Genomic DNA, 15,351 nt, shown 5'->3' on the forward strand with positions numbered 1-15,351 from the left:
CTCAGCACTTTGGGAGGCAGAGGCAGGTGGATAACCTGAGGTCAGGAGTTAAAGACAGCCTGGCTAACATGGTGAAACCCCTTCTCTACTAAAAATATAAAAATTACCCGGGCCTGGTAGTGGGTGCCTGTAATCCCAGCTACTCGGGAGGCTGAGGCAAGAGATTCACTTGAACCTGGGAGGCAGAGGTTGCAGTGAGCCGAGATTGCACCATTGCACTCCAGCCTGGGTGACAGAGCGAGACTCCATCTCAAAAAAAAAAAAAAAACCAAAATAAAACAAAACTATATCTGCTACTAGAAAACTTGTCCTTATGTTAAGTAACAGTGTCATGTTATTTATAAATACTTCTTTAGTGAGCTTCTTCTGTGTATTCAGCATTGAAGGTGATACAGAGTAAGAGCTGAATGTGGCCTTTGCTGTTAATTTGAGACATGTTAGATAGTGCTCATGTAAACAGTATAACTTCATCCATTGATGAACATTTAGGTTGTTTCCACATTTTTACTATTGTGAATAATGCTGCAGTTGACATGGGAATACAGATATCTCTTTTAGATCCTGATTGTAATTGTTTTGGATAACTATCTAGTAGTGGGATTGCTGGGTCATTATGATAGTTCTGTTTTTAATTTTTAAAGCAACCTCCATACCATCTTCTTAATAGCAGCTATACCATTTTACATTCTCACCAACAATGTACGGGGGCTCTAGTTTCTCTACATCCTCATCAACACTTGTTTTCTTGTGTATGTGTGTTTTTAATAATTGCCATTCTAACAGGTATGAGATTATATCTTACTGTGATTTTGATTCATATTTTCCTGATATGTATGATGCCGAGCAGCTTTTCATATACCTGTTAGCCATTTGTATGCCTTCTTTGGAGAAATGTCTATTCAAATTTGTTGTCTGTTTTTAAATTGGCTTATTTGGGTTTTTCTGCTGTTGAATTGTAGGGGTTTCTTATGTATGTTGGACGTTAACCCCTTATCAAAGTTATGGTTTGCAAATATTTTCTCCCATTCTGTAGATTGCCTTTTCACTCTGTTGTTGACTTTGTTTTGAGTAGCTTTTTAGATTAATGTAGTCCCACTTGTCTGTTTTTGCTTTTTTGTCTGTTTTTATTTTGTCACATCCAAGACATTGACAAGACCAGTGTCATGAAGGTGAGGTGCTTAACAGGATCAGGCACCGCAGAACAGAGGTAAATATAACCTGTAGCCCATCACCTTTTTTTTTTTTTTGTAGATAAATTTTATTTGAACACAGCAACTCCCAGTTGTTTGCATAACGCCTGTAGCTGCTTTGTTGCTAGAGTAGTAGAGTTGAGTAGTTGGTATGGAAGTGATCAGCCCCCAGTTGCCTGAAGTATCTATCATTTGGCCCTTTATTGCAAAAGTTTGCTGACCTGTGCTATAGAGATCAAAGAAATGAAGAATAAGAGTAAGAGTTATATTTTATGACGAGGACGGCTTTGATGACCTGAAAGAGTTTAGTTTTATCCTGTAAACAAATGTTTGCTGAGAGCCTGCTGGGTGTGTGGCATTTGGTTTTGCTGGTGTGATCCAGAAGATGATAGATAGCAGGAGATTAATTAATGAGTGAGTAAATGGTAAGAAGTGAAGGTGATGAATATAAATTTTTCTTTTGTGAGTATGGAAAGAATTGAGTGGCAGTTTTGTACTATGAGGGAGATTTTTAAATATAAGGAAAATATGAAAGGAAAATTTTTAGAGTTCCTCTGAGAGAGGCAGAGTGTGTTGTCATTATAGGAATTAATGGTCTAAGACTTGAACCAGGGAGTACATGGGCCTCATTACAGGAAATGAATAGAATTGTTTGTGGAATTAAGTTAATAATAGTAATTGCTCACACAGCTGTTTTTAAATAGCAAATTGTGTTAGGTAATCAGCAAAAATTCATTAAAATGTACTTGATAGTTATGCAGAAACTGCTTTATTGGTACTGACTTATGATCCTAATGGGTACCATAAAAACAAAAAACCTTTGCACTTTCACATTGGTATAGTGTTGTATGTTTTTTGTTTAATGTGTAAGTCCATTTGTAATGTTTTCATCTTCCTTTTCTAACCACCAAACCCAAATATAATTGTCTTGTTCAAGAAGGGCAGCAACATGAACTTTATGAGCTCACAGAGCAATGGGGTGTGTTCGCACTGAAAAGAGGAGTATCTGTTTGATTGCTTCCCTGTCTTCTTTCCCAGACAGAAGTGGAATATTTTATTGTATGGTTGGATTTAGGTCTACTAATTTGTTTGTTTTCTGTGTATTCCAACAGTATTTTGTTTTACTGTATCTCCATTCTTTTGGGGTGGGATTTTCTTAGGACTCCTTTTATTAGCTGGCTTTTTTGCAATGCCTCTGCTTTTTTTTTTTTTTTTTTTTTTTTTTTTTGGTAGCGTCTCTAGGGATGTTAACATACATCATTAACTTCTCAAAGGCTATTTAGAGTTAATATTGTGCCACTTCACATAAAAGGCAGAACTCTTGACCTTATTATAGGTCTATTTACTGCCTTCCTTTATGCTATAGTTATCATGTGTATTACATCTGAATGCATTGTAACTCTTAGGAGAGAAAATTATTTTTTCTTTCCTAAGCTCTATGTGTTTTGAAGACATTAAAGGAAAAATTAGTCTTTTTATTTATTATATATGATACTATTCCCTAGGATGCAGGTCTTCCTCTGATAACATTATCCTTCAACCTGGGCCAGGTGCGTTGGATCACACCTGTAATCCCAGCACTTTGGGAGGCCGAAGCAGGCGAATCAAGCCGGGGTCAGGAGTTCGAGACCAGCCTGGCCAACATAGTGAAACCCTATCTCTACTGAAAACACAAAAATTAGCCGAGTGTGGTGGCGCACGCCGGTAATCCCAGCTACTTGGGAGGCTGAGGCAGGAGAATCGCTTGAACCTGGAGGCGGCGGTTGCAGTGAGCTCAGATCGCGCCACTGCACTCTGGCCTGGGTGACGAGCAAAAACTCTGTCTCAAAAAATAATAATAATAATGATTATCCTTCAGCCTGAAGAACTTCTTTTAATATTTCTTATACCAAAGTTATACTGGTAATGAGTTCTTAATTTTCTGTTATTTGTAAAGGTCTTTATTTCAACTCCATTCTTGAAGGATATTTTTGCTGAGTATAGAATTGGTTGATAATTATTCTCCCACATCCCCCAACCCCAAGCACTTTAAAGATTTTTTTTTTCACATCTGCTGGCATTCATAGTTTCTGAAGACAAGTTCTTAGTTATTTGAAATGTTGTTACTTTCAATGTAGTATGTCACTTTCTGGCCATTTTCAAGCTTTTCTGTATTTTTGGGTTGTCAGCAGCTTGACTATGTTGTGTCTATGTATGGTTTTCTTCTTATTTATACTCTCTGGGTTTCACTGAGTACAGTCTTTAATCAGTAAGTTTGTGTCTGTCACTGCATTTGTGAATTTTTTGGCCTTATTTCTTCAAACACTTTTTTCTACCATATTTTCTTTGTTCTCTCATTATACCTATGTTAGTCTTTTAAATATCTTCCCTTAGGTCTCTGAGGCCCTGTTTGTTTTCTTTTAATCCTTTTTCTCTTTTTATCAATTGGATAATTTCTGATGATCTCTCATCACGTTCACTTACTGTTACCCCTGTTATCTCCATTTACTCTTAAGACCATCCAGGAAATTTCTTTCTAAATTTCAGATACTTAGTTTTAGGGGTGTGTGTGTGTGTGTGTGTGTGTGTGTGTGTGTGTGTTTTGAGACAGAGTTTCTCTCTTGTTGCCCAGGCTGGAGTGCAATGGTACAATCTCAGCTCACTGTAACCTCTGCCTCCTGGGTTCAAGCGATTTTCCTGCCTCAGCCTCCTGAGTAGCTGGGATTACAGGCGCCCACCACCATTCCCAGCTACTTTTCTGTATTTTCAGTCGAGATGGGGTGTCAGCATGTTGGTCAATCTGGTCTCGAACTCCTGACCTCAGGTGATCCACCTGCCTCAGCCTCCCGTAGTGCTGGGATTACAGGCTTGAGCCACTGCACCCAGCCAATTTTAGTTATTTTTAATTAATTTATTTATTTATGAGAGAGAATCTCGTTCTGTCACCAAAGCTGGAGTGCAGTGATGCAATCTCAGTTCACTGCACCCACTGCTTCCCGGGCTCCAATCAATCCTCCAATGTTAACCTCCCACGTAGCTGGGACTACAGGAGCACACTGCCGTGCCTGGCTAATTTTAATTTTTTTGTAGACATAGAGTTTTGCCATGTTGCTCAGGCTGGTCTCAAACTCCTGGACTCAAGCAATCCACCTGCCTTGGCCTCCCAAAGTGCTGGGATTACGGGAAAGAGACACCACACCTGGCTTAATTTTAGTTTTTTTTAATGTTTTCTTTTTCTTCGTGAGATTTTCACTTTTTTTTTTTTTTCATTAAAAGCATGTATCTTTCACTTTATTGAGCATAGTTACAGCATCTGCTTTAATGTCCTTGTCTGAAAATTTTACTTTGGGTCATCTTGCTGTTGGCCTCTGGTGATTATCTTTTCCCTTGAGATTGGGTTACATATTACTGTCAAAGAATTTTGGATATTATGAGTGTTATTTGTGGAAATTGTGGCTTATTTTCATGTTCTTCCAAAGAGTTTTGATTTATTTGTTTTAGTGAGCCATTTGCTTTTGGTTAGACTCATAGCAAAAATTATCTCTTGCCTGAAGTTGGTAGCTGCTCAGATCTCAATTCGGTTCTTTTAGTCTCTGCTACAAACTGCCTTGTGCCTGCCCTGTGAATGGTGTTCCAGGACTCAGCCAAAGATGTGGGCAGAGATAAACCAAAAATTTGGGACCTCTCTTTTCTGGCCTTCTCCCTTTTGGGATTCTATCCTCACTTTCTAGTGACTGTGGTTGTCCTGTCTCTGTCCTCTTTTCCTTCAGGCCAAAAAGACAATGGGGTTTCTGTTGGAATTTTAGTTACTAGAGGTTATTGCTGCTTGCCTGCAGGAGAAAGCTTTCAGAATGGGAAACTCACCTGTGCTGGTCCCTGAAAGCTGATTAAAAGAGAAACTCACCCATTCTGGTCTCTTCTTTCAAGTTTATATTTTCATCCCAATCAGCCTGTTTTTGTTTACTCCCCAGAGCCTTTATGTAGTTGATAGCAAGCTAGCTAGATATTTTCTTTCCGCCAGCCCTAGGATTTATAGTAACTATTAGAAGAGAAAGAACAGTAGGAGATGAGTTCAGAGAGGTGGGAGGCAGAACCTGTAAAACATTGTAGACCATTGGGTTTATTAGTAATTCTGAATGAGTTGGGAAGCCATTGGTAGGTTTTGAGCACAGGATGGACATGATTTGGCTTGTTTTTAAAAGGTTGCTCTAGTAGGAGGGGCAAGAAGAAGGGAAAACATTTAGGAGACTATTACAGTAATGCAGGTCAGAGATGATTTGATTGTGTTAAAAATAGCATCAACGTTTTGTTTTTTGTTTTTCCTTTCTTAAAACTACGTTTGTAGTGCTTCTATGGAAGAAAACACTGGCATTGGTCTTCAGATACAGGGCTTTGGTATATTAGATTGGGAGAATACTTGGTTCTCAGGTACGTTGGGAGGGCCCTTCCTTCTTTCTAGAAACTTGACAGCTAATTTAGGGGAGTTTTAAAGGTAGCTCAAGAGCCTTTGTCAGTCTTGGAATGTCTGTTCAGACAGTCAGAACAAGTCCTCAAAATACAGTGACCACCATATCACTATATAGTTCCCATTAAACAATTCCCAAGTCGACCCCTGGGAACGTATTACTTTCAATTCCTGGCCATCAGGCAGTTTCTGTTTTTCTTAAAGAGATAGACTTGGCATTTCCTTTTGGCCCTGTACTCTTACTTCTTTGATTAAATCAGTCATTGGGTTTTCCTTTTGTATCTTTACAGGGCATTTGTATCAGGGTGATATAGCTAGTAACAATAATATAGCAAAATCTATGTATGAAAGTCATTTTCAAAATTAGTCATTTTTTTGAATGAAATTTGCCATGTGTTCATTACCTTATTGTACTGTACTGTGGCACTAAAAACTTTAATGGAACATCTGTACTTGTAAATCTTTGGTTTCAACAGTGCCAAACAAAAATTCTGATTGGATTATTAAAGATGACCGGAAAGGGTGATTCCTTCTAATCTTTCCACCGGACTTACTTTCTTACATATGTGTTTTTTAGACTGTTTTATTTGACAATTCACTGCACAGAACCTAAATTTTTTATAAGTAAAAAAGTCTATAACTAATGTTATATACTTTAGATGAGGTAGCATGTTTTAACTTCTATTAAATTCCCTTGCAATTTTAATATTTTCCTAGCTTTTCCCTTTTTTACTAATGTGTAGCATAACAAAGCACTTGTTATTATATTCTAACTGATCCTATTTCACAATGAATGTCTGGGAAAATACATTCATAGATTTATTTCATGAGTGTCTAAAATGTGAAAAATACAATAAAAAATCTTGGTGTTGGTTTTTTAGGTGTATATTAGTTTACAATTGATTGCAGCCTTTGAGTCTTATCTAAAGGAATATCCTTACTCTACAAATAGAATTGAATAAAGACACTATTAAAAATAGACACATTCATAGCTTTGATTATCTGATATAGCTATCTCTAGTCAGAATTCTTTCATCAAATCATTTATTGGATCCCCCTACAGCAGATGGCAATCCTGCAAAATATGTTATGTTTCCCTTATTTATGACAGTGCTGAGATTTGATATTTTTGGAGTACATTTTACTTTCTAGAATAAAAATTTGATTTCAGTGCTACTAAAGGCAGAGTGCACATGTGCACCAGCGGGTGGGGGGAGAAAAAGAGAGAAATGTGTATGTGATTTTCCCTGTGCCCTTGCTCCCAACTGTATGTGTGTCTCTTTCCCACAGGGATGGGCTCTCATTTATGATACCCTAGCAGTATGGCCAGATTGAATTGCTTTTCTTACTGCTTTTGCTGCAGGGACATCCTAACCATTTCTCTCATTCTTGTATGCTGTCTCCCTGTTTCATCCTTTCATTCTTTCTTGGGTCATCAGACTCACCACTACTAACTGAAAATATTTTCCCATTTCCTGTCTTATTTCTCACTTTACCCTAGTCTTGGTTCAGGGTGGCGGAGTCTTTAGTGATAGGTCTGGTAGTGGCAAATGGGCAGAGAAGGAACTGGTGTTCATGTCAGCAGGTTTGTTCCTAATTCTTCCCTTTTACTTTCAGGCAGGTCTTGCCTAAGTCTCACCAATTCTTTAATGATGGTTTACTTACTCAAACTCTGCAGTGTTAACAATAATTTGTTTACAGGGCTCATATGTGGTGGGGGGCTGGGGGGAGGGTGGAGGGAAACACAATAGGTGCTTAGGGCATAGAAAAGCATCTCCTCCCACCAAAAAAAAAAAAAAAAAAAATTCCAGTTTCCAGTTTTTGCTAGTGGATCAAAACCTAGAGATGCCCATAGGACTCTGGTGGCTTGATGAAAGGGAAGAAGTAGGAGAGAGGCTGTGGGATAGTTTTTGATTGACACTAGAAAGAAAATACTGTTATTCAAATACTAAGATGGGAGTAGAGCATAAGAAGGTAGTCTAAATCTGTGTTCTTCCTAGAAAAGGGAGTAATGGCAGATGTTGGACTTGGGCAAGAAGTTTACCTGTTCCTCTAAGAGTCTTATACTCTGAAACCTTAAAAACTTGAATTTTACCTTTCTATTCCTTCTTTAAGGTATCAGCCTTTTAGGGAACTGCCTGTATATATAGTAATTTATGATTGCTCTTAGTTACTTTTCTTGTTAAATGTTTTCACAAAAGAAAGAGGCGGATTGCTTTTGTTAAGTTCACAAACTGTTGTTTTTAGATACGAGGTCTAGAATTTAATGTTCCTTACTGGAAAATACTAAGTTAAAACAGCATGCTTTTAAAAATGGAGCTCATAGAATCAGAATATATTACATTTGACTTAATTGATTCCATTCAGAAAACCAGGTACTAAGAGATTATCTATATAAAAGGTTAACAAGGAAAAAAATAATTTACGTCTTTCTGTTATTGATCACCCCTTTTAATCCTGTTGAATAGAAATGGAAAAAATTTATTAGAAAGTCAAATAAGGCTCAAAAGTGTTTCTATCATTAATTATTGCTGAACTTTCTCTTACATCTGCCATTTTGGTTTATGAGTCAAGGAACTAACTTCTCTGAAATTGTTGAATTCGCATGCATATACTAGAAATGGGAATGATGAAAATAATATGGGAATGATAATTCAGAAATAACAGGAAAAATGTTACTTCTCATCACTGTATTGCAACTGTGGTGTATTTTCTTGTCAATAGGTATTTTTTTCAGATTTTGGTCAATTTGTATAATATCTGTGTTAAGTTTTATCTTCTGTGTGTAATTTCCTTTTTCTGCTTACCTTGGTCTTACGGCTGAAGCTTTGGAAAGTTTATTATTCCTGTCATATTTCTGTGTTTGTACAGCCATTGTCTTTAGCAGAAAGGAGTCATTGATTCTAAAAGATGACTCTTGCCTTTGTCAGTGCCAGCCACGACCTTTTACTCAGAGTCTGGATATGTTAACAATAAAACTACAGAGCTTGAGTTTAAAACCTAGCCAGATTCTTGTTATTCTATAGCATTCTTTGAGCCCCTTGTCATTTCCAGTATCAGTGGTATGTACTACTCTTTAGCTGGTGATGCCATCACCCAATTAATTACCATTTTATTTCATTAGTCTTTGCTTTTTCTTTATTTTATAGAAGTAGAGTCACTTGATGAAAATTGAATATGTAGTTTCACATAATTTTGTGTGTCTCTTGAATTTTGCTTGAGATGTTCTCTGTAACTGGCACCCATCTTTCCTCTCTCTCTGTTTTTACAAATGTATTTAAAATACATGCAAAGCTGGGCATAGTGGTTCACACCTGTGATCCCAGCACTTTAGGAGGCCATGGAGGGAGAATCGCTGGAGGCCAGGAGTTCAAGACCAACCTAGGCAACATAGTGTAAGACTCTGTCTCTACAAAATAAAAAAAAAAATTAATGATTAGCTGAGCATTGTGGCATGTTCCTATAGTCCTAGCACTGAGGAAGCTGAGGCAGGAGGATCACTTGAGCCCAGGATTTTGTGGTTGCAGTGAGCTATCATCATGCCACTGTACTGCAGCCTGGATGACAGAACATGAACGCTGCCTCTAAATGAGATAAAAATTAAAATACACATAAGCCTCATATTTATTAGTCATTTGATATAAGAAAATATGAAGTCATAAAAAGACTAAGTTATGGTTTGATTATTTTCATCAGGACAAGATTCATCGAAATCACTTACCATTATATGTTCAATAAAAGTGATTTTTTAAAATACAACTTTTCATAAAATTATATGCAGTTCCATATATTAGTGGATTTTGTAGGTTAATGGTCATCTTTTTCTTGGATTGAGTCTCAGAGGAATACTTGCTGCTATTCTACAGTGTTGGTTGCAGAGAAAATGCTTGGAAGATAGCTCACTGGTGTCTAATGATACTGGAGAGATGGTAACAGTGTTTTTTTTTTGTTTTTTTGAGATGGAGTCTTGCTCTGTCACCCAGGCTGGAGTGCAGTGGCACAATCTCGGCTCACTGCAACCTCCACCTTCTAGGTTCAAGCTATTCTCCTGCCTCAGCCTCCTGAGTAGCTGGGACTACAGGCGCCCGCCACCACACCTGGCTAATTTTTTGTATTTTTAGTAGAGACGGGGTTTCTCCGTATTAGCCAGGATGGTCTCGATCTCCTGACCTTGTGATCTGCCCGCCTCGGCCTCCCAAAGTGCTAGGATTACAGGCGTGAGCCACGGTGCCCGGCCGGTAACAGTGTTTTTTACATGACATTCCCCAAACTCATAGAATATCTCTTAAATTTGGAACTTTAATACTAGCTCCACAGGAATGAACAAAACACTGTTCACGTAATCTCTGTGTTTTCAAAGCCTCTGGTTCACTTGAAATTGTGCCTGGAATGTTGTCTATACTAGATACTCATCTTTTGTATCAACTTTTTAAAAAAAGTTATTAAAATATACTTTAGTCACTTGATACAGGAAGTACAGATTCATAAAAATAATAGAGTCCTAATAACTAAGTTAGTAATTAGTACATTCTACTTTGGAAACTGACCCCTCCCCCTTCCCTGCTTTTTGTTACCCATCCTTTCAATTTGGCAATTGTGTCACTATAAAAGAGCCTTAGTAATCATTGCAAATTAATGGAGAATTTGTGGCATTTAATTTATTACATACCACATTCTCACCTAAATTACAGGGAAATTACAGAGGGACTTCCAGGAATATCTTGAAAGAAAGATAATTTCTAAACTTAGCAGAATGTTATCATTGTAGTATCTAGGCTGTTCTCATGAAAGAATGAAAGAAAGAAGTCAACTATTTCTGTGTTGATGAATTTCATCATAGAATGAAACTCAGAAGGGGTTAGAGAAGTGTACCCTCCTTGCAGTCAAGGATGAAAAAGACTGGAGTCTTCAAAACAGAAGAGGTAGAAATGGCTGGATTAAGAGATCTCCAAGTCTTCCAGCTTTTTCTGGGGACTGATTCGGAGGTGAAAATAATGGAGCCCAAGTGTCAGAAGATGCATTAAGGATGCACAATAAATTGTTTTGTTGGTTATGGCACCTAATTCTTTCTCACTGTGAATTTTCTTTTGCCACCTTCATAAGAGTGGAACTGCTTATTTGAAATCAAATTGTGTATAATTTTAGAAGAGATGGAAGTGTCACCCACAAAATTACTAAGGGTGAGTTTTCATGTCATTTTGATTTTATATAACTAATGTTGATTTGATATGGTTGATATAGTTAGATTTAGTTTGATGTCATCAGTTAAGAATATCTGATCACTGATCAGAAAGAAACCAACTTTATTAAATTGAATGATTGTTTGTCTTGCTTCATTTTCTAGGGCTTAACTATGAAAAATGAATTATTCATGTTTTCATGTAGGCAGTACTAAACCAGACAAAGTTTGGGGGTTCATCTACTCCTAGAAGTAGCAGTGCAGGGCGTGGTGCTGGATGGAGAGACTATGCCCCATTCTAAAGTCTGCAAAGAAATATTTTGATTCTGAATTACTATAATTTACATAGGGTATTGCATGAGGATTGATGGAGCAATGATGAAGATACTTTGCAGTAACTTATATTTTACAGGTTTCTGAAGCAAGGATTGATACTTAGCTCTTCCACGAAAGCGCAAATACCACTTGCTAAATTGTACTCTGCTGTCCCGTACCAAAAAAATCCACAAAAGTATGTTTTTAGATATATCTTTTATTTTCTTCTCTTTTTAGGTATTGATGAAAGAGGAGGTACAACATCTTGGGGAACAAGTGGTCAACCAAGTCCTTCCTATGATTCATCTAGAGTAAGTTTGCTGATCAACCCTTGATTAAAGCTGTAATTTGGCAGACTACGTAATTTCTTTCATATATGCTGTTTCTTATGAGAAATGAAAATTAATTTCTTTTCATGGAAATGCAGTAGAATACCTAGTACCTTTTTGTTACATTTAGTTCTTTTTATAAGCTGTCAAACTTTGGAAATTTAATTTCCTACAGTTAAATATTCTTGGTGTTACTTGTACACATGAACTGCCTACAGTACTCTACTAAAGAGCTTAGAATGCATAAGTGCTCTCCATATGTATTTAGCCATTTTTCTTTATGTGTTGTTTATTTGCTTTGAGAGATGGCATTGGCTTTCAACATACTAACTTCTAGCCTCTCTCCCTCATCCTTGCTTCAACAGTCATCAGCCCTTTGCATCAGGAACTCAACAGCCCTGCCTCTTGGAAGCATATCAAAACAGACATAACAGATGACATTTCTTAGTTAACAGTTAAGAGAAAATAGGACCAAGTCAACTTTCTACACACTGAGGTCACAAGGTTAGAGCCCTTTCCAGCAAAAAACAAAAACAAAAACAAAAAACCCCCAAAGCTTTATAAAATGAGACCAGGAGGTGGAAAATTAGATCAAAGAATTGGAATAAAAGTAAGCACTCTGCTCCCAGACTTTCTCTAGTAAACTGACGAGGTTAAGAGATACTTTTCCAGGCTGGGCATGGTGGCTCATGCCTGTAATCCCAGCACTTTGGGAGGTTGAGGCAGGTGGATCACTACAAGTCAGAAGTTCGAGTCCAGCCTAGCCAACATAGTGAAACCCCATCTCTACTAAAAATACAAAAATTAGCCAAGGCGTGGGGGTGGGCATCTGTAGTCCCAGCTACTCGGGAGGCTGAGGCAGGAGAATCGCTTGAACCTGGGAGGCAGAGGTTGCAGTGAGCCAAGATCATGCCACTGGACTCAAGCCTGGGCCACAGAGTGAGACTCCATCTCAAAAAAAAAAAAAAAAAAGAGAGAGAGAGAAAGACTTTTCCAAAAGGCCATACTTTAAGTGAATAAATTTCTCATTTCTCTCAGAATTAACCAAGAGAAGAAAGAGACAAGCATAAGATTTATGGGTAGTTAATCCTAGAAGCAAATTGCCTTAATGGGAGGAAAACTGAGTAAGTGACTGAAATGCATAGTCTCAGTATGGTTTACACAAGTTTGCATTGAAAAATGCTGAGTTAAAATACCTTTTAAAATACGGGGTTTTACTGTTATATCTGGCTGTAGCCCATGTTTAATTTATTTTAAATCCTTTGGAAAGAACTGGGATAGTCGTATGGAATCCAAAAAGATATATAAAGAGGCTGTTAAAGGTGGGTTTTTGTGTTTCACTTTTGAGAATCAGAGGCTGAGAAAGCTACATTGTAGTGTAAAGAACCCTATGCTGAGTATGTCAGGACTTGGATTTTACTATCAACTGTATTGTGAACCAGCCATTTAATCTTGGACACACTATTTTTGTCTTAGCTATTTAATCTTGGACGCATTGTTTTTGTCTTGAGGCTACTTAAACTGGTTGATACCCAAATTTCCTTCCACTCTTAAACGTTTCTGATTCTTTGAGTAATATTGTGAATATGTGAGATAGGATCTAGTTTAGATTTTGAAGGTAGGAGTTTTATGTAGTGGGAAACTCACAGTACTACTTATTAATATTGGATTATTTTTTTCAGAGGCTTGAGTTACTTTGTAATAACTTGTTATCTCTTAGAATGCATTAAATGGTGCCTGGGTGCCTTATATTTCTCTCTCTTTCAGGCTTTCTTCACCGCCCCGCCCCCCCACCACCCCCCTTGAGTGCTGCATAGGATTTTAGGAGAAGAAAAGTACTAATGTATCCAAACACTTATGTAATTTATGATCTTGAAATTAAGTTTACCTTCAGACATGAAATCCAAAGCAAATCTTGCTTTTCTTTTTGCTATTTATAGGTCAAATGTGAAATGCTGTATTTTACTTAGTTTATTTATTTTTAGTATGTATTATGTACAGTGAAAAGTTAAATTGATTATATAGTAAGCTAGTTTTCATAGAACCATAGAACCACATATGTATTTCTACCTGTCTATTGAGAGATCAGATAGAGTGAAGATTTAATGCTACCCTTCTTTATTTTTGTTCCCATTGAAATCCACTCTTTCACTAATTTTTCTCCTTCTATCCTAGTCATCGTCTAAACCTAAAAGGTTTGGTGAGATAGTTAAGAAGTTTTTCGTATCATTTTCAAACAAAAATCTGGATCCAGTTTCTCCTTGGCAACTCTTCTTGCCAAGGAGAACTTTATGGTTGTCTTTGAAGCCTCCCTCAGTACTACTTTATAGGGAAATTATCAGCTTTTGGGGTTTCATCTTTTAACAGTATTCACCATCTTGACCATTTCTTTCATAATCATAAGCATAAATGGGTATAATTGTGTTGATAAGAATCTCAACTAAAGTACTTCATTCTCCTATTTTAGTATATTGAATTTCTTAAATTCTTATTTAAGTACATTGAGGTTCTTAAATTCAAAAATAAATATTAATGTTGGCTAAAGACTAGTTTTGACTTGTTAGTTAAAAATTTGTCAACTTAAACAATGTAGTTGCAGATACTTCAGTAGAAATCAAGTAAATGAAATTTATTTAGACTTTATCATATTATATAAATATTACATTTCTATCAGCAGATTCCATTATTTAAAAATAATTTGATTTTCAGTAACATCACTAAATAGAAATTTTTTATTATACTTTTTATAACATTTGAAAATGCTTAGTAGGCCAAAAAAAGGGTATTAGAAACTGCAAAATGAGTAATTTGTTGGAGATACAATATACCTGCTTTAAACTTAACATGAATTGAACTATCTGAGCTGCCTGCCATTCTATCCCTCTCCCATTCCCATGCCAAACTATAAGGGAGAAACAATACTTTCTTTACAATAATATGAAACCATATTTGGCAGATGAACCCTATTAATATTGTATGTTATATGTTACTGTATGGGAATAGTTACACAAAGTCATATTGATTGAACTTATTCTTTATTTAATAGCTTTTCAAGGGAAATTTTTGCTATGTACACTATTTGCCTTACAGGGTCCTGACTTTAATTGTAAGATACCATTCTACTATAGTAGCCTTGATGCATAAATGAGCTCCACCTGAGTTATGTATTAAGCGGTCACAAACTTCTTATCTCTGTGTTAGGCTTATCCCCATTCTTTCAGAATTAGGAAAAGTCACTCTAGCATGGTTCCAGTCTGTGTGTCTGCCCTTGCTTTTACCAAATCCACCAGAAAAGTAGCCTCGCAGTTTAGAGGTGATTAAGTTTCTGGTTATCAGAAGTACCTACAGCAATCCATTCAGTGAAGAGGTTTCGCTAGGTTGACATAAAAATAGACATTGTACCTAAGAGTGGTTATAGGCCGGGCGCGGTGGCTCACGCCTGTAATCCCAGCACTTTGGGAGGCCGAGGCGGGCGGATCACGAGGTCAGGAGATCGAGACCATCCCGGCTAAAACGGTGAAACCCCGTCTCTACTAAAAATACAAAAAATTAGCCGGGCGTAGTGGTGGGCGCCTGTAGTCCCAGCTACTTGGGAGGCTGAGGCAGGAGAATGGCGTGAACCCGGGAGGCGGAACTCGCAGTGAGCCAGATCCCGCCACTGCACTCCAGCCTGGGCGACAGAGCGAGACTCCGTCTCAAAAAAAAAAAAAAAAAAAAAAAAAGAGTGGTTATAGAAGAAATGGTAGGCATGGTCAGCATTCTTAGGCAATGTGGATTTCACATTTCCTAAGCATGTCTCAGCATGTTTGAGACACCCAGAGGGAAGGAACAAACATTTGTTCCTTCCTCTCTACTTTTGTTAGAGTCCTGGTTTCTGCACTCTTCATCTGCTGT

General features: G+C 37.3%; 1 protein-coding gene across 24 annotated transcripts in view; it reads left to right on the forward strand.

The window, feature by feature from the left end:
* TCF12 (transcription factor 12) overlaps positions 1 to 15,351 on the forward strand; it is a 373,221-nt gene that overhangs the window by 134,295 nt on the left and 223,575 nt on the right. For all 24 annotated transcript variants that reach the window (NM_001322151.2, XM_011521960.4, XM_047432971.1 and 21 more), the window contains one exon: positions 11,366 to 11,439. In NM_001322151.2, the coding sequence (NP_001309080.1) occupies positions 11,366 to 11,439 (74 nt within the window). The remainder of the gene's footprint in view (positions 1 to 11,365; positions 11,440 to 15,351) is intronic.

This window comes from Homo sapiens, chromosome 15, assembly GCF_000001405.40.
Source record: "Homo sapiens chromosome 15, GRCh38.p14 Primary Assembly".
Lineage (NCBI taxonomy): Eukaryota > Metazoa > Chordata > Mammalia > Primates > Hominidae > Homo > Homo sapiens.